Genomic DNA, 13,798 nt, shown 5'->3' on the forward strand with positions numbered 1-13,798 from the left:
TTAATACTTATAGGAGGTGTGTTAATTGGCCCCAGGGCCGCAGGCTTTAGCGTTCAGAGGACTTTAGCCCCAAAGGTTTTGTGGAACTTTTCCAGAGTCCTCACCAGTACATTGGGAATAAATGGAATGCCTTTGGAAGTACTTTGAAGATTGAATTCGATAGTGTTGGTAAAGCAGTCTAGCCTGCTGTGATTGTGCTATTGATGCAAATATTCTCTAGCCTGTATTATTTTTCCTTGGAGCTCAGGAAGTGATCCCCACCCACCTCAAGCAGTAAAGGAAAGAGAGGCAGGAGGGTCTGACCATGTGAGGTGCCCCAATAAAGCATCTGTATTGTAAATCAGGAATGTAGGTATTGGGTTTCCTTAAAACAAAGCACACCTACGTGACCACTAGCTGGAGCACAATGTGGGCTCGGTCTGCTGAAAGAGTCAGTTGGTTGCGGCTGTCTAATCCAATTATGGATGGTCCCAGCGCTCAGCCTTTCAGCTGCTGCCCCTCCCCTGCAGACTCTGCCTCTCTCACCCTCCCTTTTAGGGCTTGGTCTGTGGCTACCCCAGAAATCACGTGCACTCCTAGGCTTCAGCGAGTACAGCCTTGTTAATCTCAGACATGGAAAGCAAGTTGCCTAGGTCTACAGATGAGTATTCAGTTTCCCCACCAGTTGACCTCAGTGCAGGTTTTGTTGGTTCCAGTCATTTGGGGTCAGCACCTGTTTGAAGCCAGGACACTTAGAACAAGGTGGAGGAAAACCTGAGGGTACATACAGTGTGGTTTCCTTGGCTCATCTAATGCAGAGTCAGAATGATTAGCCACATTGCAAATTGTCTTTACTCAGTGGTTTAATTGTTAACCAGGGAGTTAATTTTTTTTTTTTATTAAACAAAGAAGAAAACACCTCTAGATTTTTCTGGGACAGATGGCCCCATTGAAAGAGGCCATGTGCTGCAGCGAATGGCCAGGCCTCGGGTGTGGCAAGTGCCTTCCAGCTCAGTGCTTGCTTTGTGCTCCTTTGCCTATTTGAAGACGTGGATGAATCAAAATCTATAAGCCTATTTCAGTCAAGTATTCTAAGGAACCTGGAAACACAGGGGATTTCTCTGTTGCCTCTAATACAGTGAAAAACCACTGTCTTTTTTTGTTGTTGTTGTTGCATTGGGGGAAGAAAGTCCAGGTTTGCATGTACATTTTCACTCATAGGATTTTTTTTTAGAATAGTTTGGGGAGGACATTGTGCTCTGGCCAATAACTGGGCCAGTGTCTGGTCACAAGATGATCAGGCAGGTGCCTGCATGACTGTAGGACAGAGAACTGGGCAGCTAGAGAGCCTGTGTGGAACGTGAAGCCTTTCCCCACTTTGTTGCCGTCCTAACCTTTTCTCAAGTCATGGAGAATTGATCCTTAGACATTCCTTACCTCTCTCACCCACTTGAGGATTGCTCAGAGCCTGGGTTTCGGATTGAAATAGCACTATTTCTGGTTGGTGACGACATTCTGTGAGCCAGCAATGTAGTTTAAATATCCACAAGAGCGCCCTGGTTCCATCAGCGCCCCTTCGTAATTGGTCATGAGACTTGGACCTCCTTCGGGGCTGGGACTCGGGCAAGGGAGTTGAGTAGAGCTTCTCTTTCTGGGCTCCTGGGAAGGATTCATGGCATAAAAGTGGGACTTCAGCATTCTCTGGGCACACCTGTCTCTGTTTTTGTCCTCTCCTGAATCTTTCTGGCCTGCAGAGCAGAATAAAGTCACTCTGTGCCAACCTGACTTTTGTTCATGACTATATTAGGGGCATGGATAGAAAGTGCCCCCATAGCACTCTCAGATAAAACACCTTCAAACAAACCCAGAAACCCATGCTCACAAAACCACCCACCTTAAATTATGAAACTTTCAGGCTGACTAAATCCTGAAGGCGTTGGAGCGTGAGCAAAGGGAAAATGGTGACACAGAGCTTTGCCCTTCCTAATCCAAATGAAAAGCTCTGTAACCCTCCCCCCACCTTTGCTATCAAGAAATGTTGGACCTTTGGGAAGCAGATGTAGAGTATTGATCCTTAAAACAGAGACCTCTCACCCTAGGTCTCTTAAAACAGAGACCTTAAAACAGAGTATTGATCCTTAAAACAGAGACCTCTCACCCTAGGTCTCTTAAAACAGAGACCTCTCACCACTTTCTAACTGAAGTGGGTTCCACATTGGAAGTACTTTGCAGAAACTTCTATTACCGCAATTACTTTTGCACCAACAAATAGTATCCTCAACTCAGAAGGAAAGAATTGGAACACTCAGCTGGAGGTGTCTGGTAGGGACATGTGTCTGCTTTTTGAATCAGTCGTATATGTTTTTGTTCCTGTGCCTGGAGGCCCTTTGTGGTGTGAGAACATTGAATTTGGAGAGGGAAAGGGAGACAAAAGAGAAATGGGGGTGATGCTTAAGGGAAAGTAGGGTTTTTAGTTTGTTCACCACGCTTGATGGCAGATTTGCCTCTGGATCCTCAGGCCACGTTCCTATGGTGGGTAGGGATCTCTCTCTCTCTCTCTCTCTCTCTCTCTGTGTGTGTGTGTGTGTGTGTGTGTGTGTGTAAATAGTGATTTCTCTAAGTTAATAAAGAATGTGGGGTGACCTCCTACACATGCCCGTATGCTATTGTGTAGGAACAAATGCATGGTAGGAATGGGTAGACTCTAATCTGAAAGCATCAAGTTGTATGCATCTTCTGCAATTAGGAATCTGCTCACCAGCACGAGTGCTGTGGTTTCTGTAGTTCTGGGATTCAGAGGAGCATTTTAAAGATGTAGGATGTTAGAGGAGGAGGTGCAGGGATCTCCCCTTGGGTAAAGAGTGGGAGACAGTCTCTGAGTCATAATCTGGGACCAGTGGAAGGTCAAAGGGAAGAACTGTCCTGTTGTCTGCTAAGTCACAGGCTTCCTTCCTGTTCTCTGAGCCCTGTCACTTACCCAAGGTGCAGCAACAATTAGTGTCTGTTTACACATAACAGACATCTCTTTCATAAAATAATTTTTAAGGCATTTGTTTGGTAGAAGCTTCCCTGTTTGGGGGAGTCTTTTCCCTGAATGCATGTAAATAACTTCACAGTTTGCGCAAGTTTGCAAACGGTCTATACTGCTCAGCCTTGATTGGGCTACCCAAGGATGCGCCCGCCCTGCTGAGGTCTGACAGCTCTGGGAGGCCAGTGAGGCCTGTCCTAATCCCTGTTCTGGCCGGTGATTCAGCTCCAGGTGGAGGCTGTGCAGAAACAGCCCCGGTCATCTTTGTGTGAAATACATTTGTCGTCTTCATTTTCTTTTTTCTTCTGCTGGTATCTTCATGGTTTTCAGCAAAACTGTGTACATTACATTTTTTTCTTTACCATTTCTCCGTAGTTATTTCTAGCATTTTTTTTTCAGCTGATGAAAGCAAATGAAGAATTTTTATGCTCCATAGTCAGTCAAACATTGATTTCTCTGACTTTTAACTTAGAAAGTCATTTTGCAGTGGCTTGCGTGTGTGTATTTAGACTGTGCTTCTACAAAAAAGCACACGTAGGCTTATGGCTCAGTTTACTTGTTCCAGCTCACTTTCCTGTTCATTTACCTTCTTGTAAAATGGAAAGACAAACATACCTTAAACTTAACTCAGATCGTGATTGCCAACTTTGTTCTCTGTGTGTAAGTAGTTATATTATTCCTAGGTTATGGCATCTTGATTTATCTTTGAAAGAAGAAAACCCTCACTGAGTTGACAGGGACACATTGTTCTAGGCTTCTACAATTGTGCTGATGACGCTTTTTCCCATTGGAATGACAGGGATGATAAGGTCGGCTGGCTAGCCTTTTTTTAAAATGTAGAAAACCACAACTTTAATTTATAGCATCATCATTTTCCTTATGTATGTAGTATGTTTCAAAAATAATCCAATGTCAGATTCTTGCTTCTGTGATCAAGGTCTTGTTTTTGCCCTTTCTTTGCTCACCACCTCCCTGCCCCTGACGCCGAGTCCTCGCCTTAGAGGAGGTGGTCAGCTTATATTGCAACATTGAAAATGTTATACCTTACAAAGAAGGTGATATGCCATTTCTTAATTATAATGATGTGCAACAGTGACTTCTGATGTAGACCTTTAACATTGGGCCACGCAGCTTTTTCTTTGGAGGAGGGGCATTTCAAATTGGATGATGCTCTTATAGTTTAATAAAGAAACAAGCAAACAAAATAGGCTATACAGGGCATGTGTTCTTAAACTCTGTGACAGTGGAGGTGAACCCAGGGCCCTTTCATGGCCTTGGGAGGGTCCTCAGCTTTGGGGGCGAGTTATCTGGGTGGAAAAGCACCATGGGAGGAAGAAGTCAGAGAGGCGGGTTGCTGGAGCTCAGAGAATAAAAGCAAGTCTCTGCCCTGAAAATGGCCCTGATTTGCTTCAGATGTACTCTGTCTGCCAACATTTAGTGTCTGTGACTTAGCCAAAGGAAATGTACATTAACTGTTCAGTTTCTATGTAGTTTGTGCTCTAGGATTTTGCCTCCGGAGGATTTCTGTGAAGGAAGCTCTGTTCAAGTGGCTCTGTTCCACTTGGGTTTGGAAAGAGGCCGGGACAGGTGATTTCGAAGGAAGGATGAGGACAATGGAGGAGATGGGCTTGGTCATTGCAGTGTGTGAGGTGGCCCAGCTTATCTGGCATTTTGGGGTACTATATGTGCCATATGAGGTGGGTATGGGTGTTTGAAGGGAAAGGGGGTGGCCTGGGCAACTTGTGTCCTTGCCTAGAAAGATCATCACTCTTTTTATTTAAAAGAAACATGTGAAAGAGCCATCAGGGATAGTTTTGTCCTCCCTCTTCTTACAAGTGATCATTCCCTTGGTAGGGCAGTGCCAGACCCTGCTTGTGAGCACAGAAAACGCCATAAGCTCCTCATGAAAGCATGTCTGGGGAAGCTTATCTCAAATGCAGTTTGCACTTGCAAAGGTCCTGTGGTATAGCGGGGGAGCAGGGGAGATGGAGTCTGGGAGCGGTGAAGGCTGGGTCACTAGCTGGCTTTGTAGCCTCTGGGCGTGTTGTTTTTATCCTCAGAGGGGCCACTGCACCTGCTCCATGGTCTCTTCCCACAGCAGACCCTTCTGTCTCTGTGCCTCGAGGGGCTATGTGGAAAGCAGAGAAAGACTCAACCAGAGTCTTCCCTTAAGGAAATCGGAAGGAAAACAAAATTAACGGCATTAGAACTGAGTATGTATTAAAACTTCTACTGTCTTACAAAATTTAGTTTTCTTTCTTATTTTTCTTTCCATGTTGACTCAGTAGGTAAATGGACTAAACACACATTCATTTAGGGCAGGAAGAACTTCATCATTTGATTACCTTTAGTTCATTTACCTTATAATGCCTAAAACAAAGCAGAAAGTGACGTTGGTTAATCAAAAAGATCACTTTCTTTTTTGTGTTCTTTTGTGCTATTGTGAGATGCCTCTTCTCCAGCAAGCTGTAGTTGTTCACAAAGTAAAGCTGTTCCTAAGCCTTCATTAGATTGAAGCTTGTCCCAGACTTTCTTTAAAGAAGTTTGCATAGCTTAGTTCATGCTCAGATGATTCAGTGATGATGATGGGTTGTTGGTTAGAAATTACTTAAAAATGCCTAATACATTATTGACTGATAAATGTTAAGACATATTCTTTAAGGGTCTAAATCCTATTCTTGTGGAGCTGCAAAGATCTTGGGGGTGTGGTTGCCCTTGTCTGTTGCATCATCTTTCAAATGCAACAGCTGTAATGATATTCTGTATCTTGAAAAACTTAAAAAAGCAACAACTAACTTATTTGTATCTTTTCCTCTAATATTTAGTTTTTACTTCACTTGTAACTTATTACATGTATTAAGGAGTTTATTTTTATATGACATTTTACTCATAAAAGGATGAAACCAAGATTGGTGATCTGTTCACATAGATTAAAATCCTGTTTGTGACCACTTAGGTGTGTAATGTGTGACTTGTGGACTGTGTCAGAGGAAGATTTTCCAACCAAAAGTACCCATTGGTATCACAGATGAAAAGTCCTTATACCATCTGAAAAAAAGTAGAAGGTGGGGAGAAGCTTGAAAACCTAAGGAGGCCATTAGGAAAGGCTGTATATTTTCTGATTCCGTTTAAAATTTTAAGTTGGTGAAAATACTATGTGATCGAAGGATGAACATATTTTAGTAAATAGAGTTATAGTGCTACAATGAGATAAATTTCACAGGTAAATGTGACGTAGCTAATGCATAATCATTCTTTGTGTTGCATGGCAATTCTGTACAAATGGAAGGTAGCATGTTTAACGTTCCTGTTATTTCACATAAATACAGACTGAGAGTTTCAGTGGTCTGGTTTGAAAGGGAAGAAATAGAAGAAGGAAGGAGAGAAGTTGGCAGAGGAGCAATCTGCTCTAATATCCTCCAGTACACAATCTAGCTATAGGTCCTCACCTGGCAGGGTTTGAGGATCAGAATGGTGGCTCAGGTTTAGACAATTCTCCCTGTTTGTGGGGCCCAGCAGCTAGTTAAGAGAAAAATCTTTTTTCCTTCCCTATTACCCTATAAGGTCCCCAAATTCATTGTATGTAGAATACTTGAGTCAGAATAACTTTCCTAACACTTAGGTTTCAGGTTTGTTAGGTATGCCTGACAGCTCTCTTATCAACTCCCATTTATTTGCTAATCTAAATGAAAGTTTGATGGTAGAGTATTGTAAATGTAGGGAAGGTGAAGTGTTCACCTTCAGATGGTAGCTATTTATCTCAGCAAGAAGAGCAGATGACTAACACCCAAATACATAACCATTATTATATAACTTAGCATTTATAAGGCATTTCTATGCATCCTGAGAGACTAGAGCACTCTCAAATGAGGTTTCAGAGTAAGATTAATCTTTGCAAATGAAGACAAATTAGCAAAATCTTCCTATTTTTAAAGTGTGCCTTTTGATTTGATACCTATTTATTTGTTTGGAAAGAAGCTTTTAAAATCAAAACCATGAATCTGTGGTTATCTTCAAAGGATAAATTATGGTAGGTGGTTGTTACCCAGGTTACCATTTTAAGATGATTATGGCTGGCCCAAATTAGGGGATCTTTTCATATATGTATTATATATTTTAACTTCAGTCTTTTAAAAATGAATATTCCTAGGTGGCATGGGAGGGTGGGAAGGTCAAAAGCCCAAACTTCTCTTACTTATTGGCTGCTTCCTTGAACTTAGCGTTTTTCTTTTGGAAAAGTGAGCTTTTGTTTTTGGATATTTTGTACTGATACTCTGTGCCTACACAGATTTTGTTTTGGTTCAATAAGAGTTGATATTTTGCCAGGGGTTGCCTCCCATGAGATTCCAAATACAGATGTAAGTTTAACAGGCTTCTGAACTGGATGTTTCTATGCGCTGAAACTCTGTAAACGCGTGTAGCTTTGTCTACCATTGTATATTGCTGTATTGATTTGTTGGGTTGTTTTTTTTCTTCCTCCTGAAAAGCTCTGGTCTGTCCTCTGCTGATACAAAGACTGGTCCATTCCCCAGGGTCACTGCAAGAGAACCTCCAGGGCCTGGCCACTGTTAGATATTACTAATCTGTGAAGTTGCTCCAAATTCTCTTGCCCCGATCATAAAGTTCCATTGAGTTCAATTTTATGTGAAGGTTCTTTGTCAAAAGGAATAAATGTTTATTCAACAGATCCAGTTGTTGTCAGCATTGACAGATGTGAAAATTAGCAAATAGCAAGAAGTCTCCCCTTTAGAAAAGGAAAACAAGTACTTAAAAAAAATCTTGTGTTGTCAATAAACAAGTCCATTTTAAAAGCATCTTTGAAGGTGTGTAATGAAAATGGAGGCCTTAGGTTGTATCAGGGTTTATGAGGAGCCAGCTTATATGTAATCAGATGTTCCTGTTACTGTTATCACTGTAGTATAGGGCTTAGTTCTGCCCTTTAAGTCACAGACTCAAGTTACTCCTGATTTTACCAGCAGTCAGAATACATTTTTCTTTAAAAGGAAAAGAGACGATATCCCAGTGCTTCTCTATACTAAAACAGGAAGAGAAGCTTCCTTGTTGAAGTGACAGTTTAGATGTTGTTATTTTGACAGAAATATTAGTAAATATGTCACATTATCCCTTGCTAAATATTTATAGCATAGAACGTATACTCTGATGCATAATATTTTATGAAAGAAATATCTTTTGCCTCAAATCCCTTTCACTGTTTTGACATGAATCTATAATTTATACCCAGAGGTCTGCAGGAAAAAGACTTTATTAAGACCCTTTTATTTCAGCCAAGATAAAACTCCATCCTAAGAGGGAACACCCTGGAATCTTTGAGACCCTTAAAGGTGGGGTATTCTGAAATACCTGTGTTCGTTCCTTTGCTAGAATTTAGATAGCTTCACTTTTGCAAAAAGGCACAAAATGAGGGCAATTTTTGATGGAAAATTTTAGTTTTTGAGATGAAGCAGGGGGCACAGTGGCGAAGCGCCCTATCTTAGCACTTAGGTAGCAGCCGTAACAAGTGTCCTGGGTATTCCTCCCTAGAAAGGAAATGTTGGTCACAAATGGCAGTGTCCTCTGCATTCAGTTCAGCTATGTGACTGAAAGACACTGTTCTTCAGCAGCTGTGAGTTTACAAGATGTCGCACATTGAGTATTTTTCTCTAGCTTATTTAGAAACGCCAGTCTAGACTTCCGCAGTTTTGGATTCGTGGCCATAGTTTTGGCCTTTATTAGATGGCCCTCAAAGGTACTTTTCAGGTGGACATTGATTTCATGCCAGCTGTCAGAGATGATTTTCCCTAGAAATGGCTGGGTATATGGAGACATTCTGTATTAGAATGGAGGTATACACCCATCTCTTCTGTATTAGAGAGCAGGTGTTGCCCCCCGTGGTGCTCAGATTGCTTAGTGTGAGAAGGAAAAGACCAGTGATAAGAGGAGGAAAACTGCGCCTTCCATGTAGCTCAGTTAACAGCATCATGATTCTCCAGGATGGCCCCATTTCTGTTTTTATTTACAAAATGGACTTGAGAATTAATTAGTAAGCAAACTGTCTCCATTAGGTAAGTGGCATTCTGATTTGTCTGTGTAAAGTTCCATTTCCCAAGTAATGTGTTCCAAAGCATTTTTATGTACAACTACTGGAAACTGCTGTACAAATGTTTGCTGCTATTTGGTTGTAACAAAATCAGTAATGAGTTTCAAAATGGAATAATTTCAGAGCCCTTCATCTACAGTAGTTTGGGAAACACTTGAAATACCAAGTGATCTGAATTCACTACAAGCTCTCCAACTGGAAAATGTGCCTGGTGTCGTCTTCAAGCAAGAATCCCCCGCCCCTTAACCACTGCTGCTGTGGACTTGAGTCTTCAACCTTGTTTTGTAGACTTTAGCATTTGTATTGTGTCATCCTTGACACCTCCCCAACCCCAGCCTTCCCAGCTTTGATTGCTTACCTTAGCAATGCTCTCAGCTTGGACCAGAAGGCACGGATGTTTCCCTGACCTTAACCTCACTGTGTATCAGCTCAAGGAAGAAGCCAGATTTGCTGATGTTGTAAGCACTAAATTATGTTCATAACATTTAACCCTCACATCCATAAGCAAACTAAGTGGGAAAATATTGACTATTGTAGCAGTCATAGATTGTTTAGGAAGCAGCAAAAAGGCAAATTTTTCTTTAAAGTTCAAAATGGGGCGAAAGAGGGTAGGAAAGGAAAAGTTTATTAAGAAAATTGTATACTACATTAATTTGACTTTGCCGTCTAGACTTAAATTAAATTCATGTATTTTTTTGGTCTTAACACATTGACATGTATCAGTAAGTTAAAAACTTAAAAATACACAAATGATTAGATTAGCATTATTATGTGTTTCTTTCTTGTTTTTTGTTTTGTTTTGTTTTGTTTTGTTTTGAGATGGAGTCTCACTCTGTTGCCCAGGCTGGAGTGCAGTGGCATGATCTCGGCTCACTGCAAGCTCCGCCTCCTGGGTTCATGCCATTCTCCTGCCTCAGCCTCCCGAGCAGCTGGGACTGCAGGCACCCGCAACCACCCCTGGTTAATTTTTTTTGTATTTTTAGTAGAGACAGGGTTTCACTGTGTTAGCCAGGATGGTCTTGATCTCCTGACCTCGTGATCCACCTGTCTCGGCCTCCCAACGTGCTGGGATTACAGTCATGAGCCACTGCGCCTATTATGTGTTTCTTATAGAAAATCTCTCTAATTTTTTAATAAGCATGTTTTTACAAATGCTGTTTCCTGAGAACTGTCGCACCACATGCGACATGCCATGCATGCGACTGGAACATGCCAGATATTTGTGGGTGGTCCCTTCGTGTCACCTGTGCCTTCTTACCAAGTAATTTGAAACACCCGTGTAAACTACCTTTGGCAAATAGGATAGCTAAATCACCGCTAAGATTTATAATTTACTTTTTGGATATCTGAAACATCAACAATACAGCCATCCATGGCGTGTTCCTCTGGAGTGTGGTCCGTGCCGTCTCTGCCTGCTCCATCTGGCTGATCCCAGGCAGGCAGCTCAGCTCTCAGCAGACACAGATCCCCAGCACATATGAACGTGAAAGAGGCTTCTCCGTGGGAGCGAAGTGGCCAGCAGGTGTCACAGGCTGTGTGGGCCCAGCATCGTGTGGGCACTGTGCTGGGGGAATCCCATCACAGCATGTGCTGGCGTTAGTAGTAGACTGTGTGTGTCTCAGAGGGTCCAGAAAGTAATACAGTAAAGGCGCCTGGGGGTGTGTGGGGGTGGTTGGTTGGGGTTTGCTTGTTAGTTTGTTGTAAAAGCCCAGCTTTTCATTCTTGGAAAGATTTCAGCCAACTCGAGAGGGTTACCTGCCAGGAATGCTGCAGAAGCAAGAACTCAGTGGGTGAGCACTTCCATTTCTTCAACAAATGCTTCTGAGTCCCTGACCTGTGCCAGGTGCTCTTCTTGAGCTGAGAATCCTGCAGGGAGAAAAGAGATAAAGACCCCATAGTCCTGTGGTTTACCTTCTAATGAGCATACTTTTGTCGATCAAACAGGGTGACCTCTCTGGTGTCTCTGCACACTACCTGTATGGTCTTTGCGTAGCTGATGGGGTCTCCTGACTAGTGATTGGTGATTTTAATCTGGATTTTGCCACAGCACTTATTTTCTAACATATGACTTAATTTACTTAATAATTGTGTCTATTGAATGTATTCTTATACATACACACAGGCATGCACACACGGACACGAATATAAGCTTTACAAGGACAGAAACCTTATCTTTTATTTATTTCTTCCTTGTGTATCCTGAGCACTGAGAACAGCCTGGCACAAAGCAGGGCTCAGGAAATGTTTGCTGAATGCATGTTCACACTGGATGTGTTCGAAGGCTCTCACTCGCGACTCCTGTTGGCTTGTGGAGAGTGCATCTAGCTGTAAAAGCCATGGTGCTTGGATGTCTTGGGGTGCTGAGCCTGTTCCCCCCTCATTTGGGGGTGTGGTGCTATGCTGGCGTTTGGGTCCATGCCCCGCATTTCTGATGGCTGCCCCATCTGCCCTGTGTGGGGTGGCAGAGTTCTGTGTACACAGAGTTACATTTCGTTGTTCCTGGCTTCTCTATGGATGACAGCAGCACTGATAAATGCCACACCTGCTTTCTCAGCAGTCTTGCGGGGTGATTTTTCCTCTTAAGGAAGTCACCTGATGTCCATGCTGAGTAGGAAATGCATCCAAAGCTTTGGGAGCTCAGTGTTGGCCCCTGGGCTGCAGCCCGAGCCCCGTTTTAGAGCTGTGTCTCCCAGGCAGCTGTGATGACTGCTCGAAAGCCCACTCAGGGGGAAGGTAAACCTGATGCCCGGGTGTTTGGACAGTGAGCATGGCGAGTGGACCGTTACCTGTGCATAGAGTTGTTCATATGTGGTGACAGATGTTGGGCTGTTATTTAGTAACTTCAAATTGTTTTTCTTTGCGTCGGAGCCATGTCTAGGTTCTGAGTGCTTCTCCCAGGTCAGATGGAGAGCTCTTCATTTGGGGTTGGGGGAGCGGGGTGGTGTTTTCAGGTGCCCAAGGCATTCCATGCACATGCACCTGCAGGGTATGTGTCATCTGGGGTAAGACAGAGCCCTCCCGGTTCCTCTTCTGGATGTGTGCTTTTAGTTTTTAAAGAATGTCAGTATATACATTGCCATTTATTCAACAAATACGGACTGAGCATTCTGTTGTGCTGACGTAGCTACTTGGGGTTACAGAGACAAAGCCAACTCCATTCTCCAAATGGAAAACAAATGGAAACATTCTAGTGGTAGAAACAGACAACAAACAAGTAGACAGAAAATAATGTCAGACAGTGGTAAGTGCTATGAAAAAAATACAGACTCACTGATTGTGATGGAGACTTTTAAGTTGGATTCTCATAGAAGGCCTTTCTGAAGAGGGGACATTTGCCCTGCCACTGTGAATCAGCCATGAGAAGACGTGGAGAGGAACATGAGGTGGTAGGCCCCAGCGAGGGAAAGATCTCCATGATGGCATCGATTATTCGCTCCACAAATATTATTGAGCACCTGCTGTGTGCCAGGCACTGTTCCTGGTGTCAGGGTTATAGAAGTGGACAAAATGAGGCCTCTGCCTCTGTGGAGCTTTTATTAAAGTAGGGAAGGGGATGGGAGGGCTGGGTCACATGTTAGGTGTGGGGTACAGGGTACGTGGTGCCAGGCAGGTATCCGGGTACCTTTTTACGTAGGGTATTCAGAGAAGGTCTCTAGAGAGGTGACATTTGGACGAAGACCTAAAGGAAAGGGAAGGGAAAGGCGAGGAGCTTGGAGAGCTTGGTGCATCTTGGTGGGGGATGGGGTAAACTGAGTCAGTTATGTAGGGCCCTGGAGGCCACGGTGAGGACTTCGGCTTTGACTCTGAAAGGAGATGGCAGAGTTTGGAGCTGGTGTGTACGTTAACAGGACCATGCTGGCAGCTGCGTTAAGAGAGACTGTAAGGGCAAGGACAGAAGTAGAGAGACCAGTAGGAGTAGGCTGTTGCCCCAGTGTAGGGCAGAGAAGATGAACCTTAGACCAGGATGGTGGAGATGGTCAGTGGAGAGAAGTAGTCAGAGTCTGGAAGCACCAGCAAGACTGTCTGGTGCACACAGGATGCACGTGGGATGTCCAGTGAGGAGGATGAGATGAGGTTGGGTGGCTGGAGCCTGGTGAGTGACAGGCAGAGAGGGCTATTAGATCACATGGGCCCTGGAGCCATGGTGAAGAATTTGGATTTTGTTCTCTGTGTTGGAAAGTTAGCAGAGAGCTTATATGGGGGGTGAGATGGCATAGGGACAATGTTAATAACAGCAACGAATATTTATTGAGCACTTACTGTGTACCAGCTGTTGCAACAGCCTCTCAAGGGTTCGTTCTGCTATTAGAGCCATGTTATAAATGAAGAAACTGAGGCACAGAGAGGTTAGCTAACTTGTCCAAGATCACACAGTTAGGGACAAACTTGACAGAATTATGTGTGTCCTGGTATGTATTTCAGTTTTCTTTAGGGAAGGTACCACAACTTTGGGTAACTATGCCCCTACCCCAGGATTTAAGATGTTTTGATGGTTGAAGGGCGATGTTTAAGAGTGGGACCAGAGAATATTGAGGTATTAAAATCTCACTAAATCTGTATTCATTATATCTGTATTCATGGTATAATTCATGTGCCTCCCCCTTTCGTGAGCCCCTCAAACATGATCATGGATATGTTTTCTCCACCCGTAAAGTACGTTCATATTCATAGAAAACCCACAGAGAACTGCAGAC

The 13,798-nt window shown here is 43.3% G+C and overlaps 1 protein-coding gene across 7 annotated transcripts in view, besides 2 other annotated features; it reads left to right on the forward strand.

Moving 5' to 3' along the window:
* Positions 1-13,798, forward strand: part of IGF1R (insulin like growth factor 1 receptor) — a 315,992-nt gene that overhangs the window by 136,974 nt on the left and 165,220 nt on the right. The gene's annotated exons all lie outside the window — the stretch shown is intronic.
* Positions 9,248-9,542: a silencer, noted in NCBI's record as "tiled region #1759; HepG2 Repressive DNase unmatched - State 8:EnhW, and K562 Repressive non-DNase unmatched - State 21:Repr". NCBI's record gives its function as "represses a minimal TATA promoter and a strong SV40 promoter by Sharpr-MPRA in HepG2 and K562 cells {active_cell/tissue: HepG2 | K562}" and the evidence as "EXISTENCE:reporter gene assay evidence [ECO:0000049][PMID:27701403]".
* Positions 11,440-12,231: an enhancer, noted in NCBI's record as "H3K4me1 hESC enhancer chr15:99340181-99340972 (GRCh37/hg19 assembly coordinates)". NCBI's record gives its function as "activates a minimal SCP1, AML or CMV promoter by ChIP-STARR-seq in primed H9 embryonic stem cells {active_cell/tissue: H9 hESC(primed)}" and the evidence as "EXISTENCE:reporter gene assay evidence [ECO:0000049][PMID:30033119]".

This window comes from Homo sapiens, chromosome 15 (assembly GCF_000001405.40).
Source record: "Homo sapiens chromosome 15, GRCh38.p14 Primary Assembly".
Classification (NCBI taxonomy): Eukaryota; Metazoa; Chordata; class Mammalia; order Primates; family Hominidae; genus Homo; species Homo sapiens.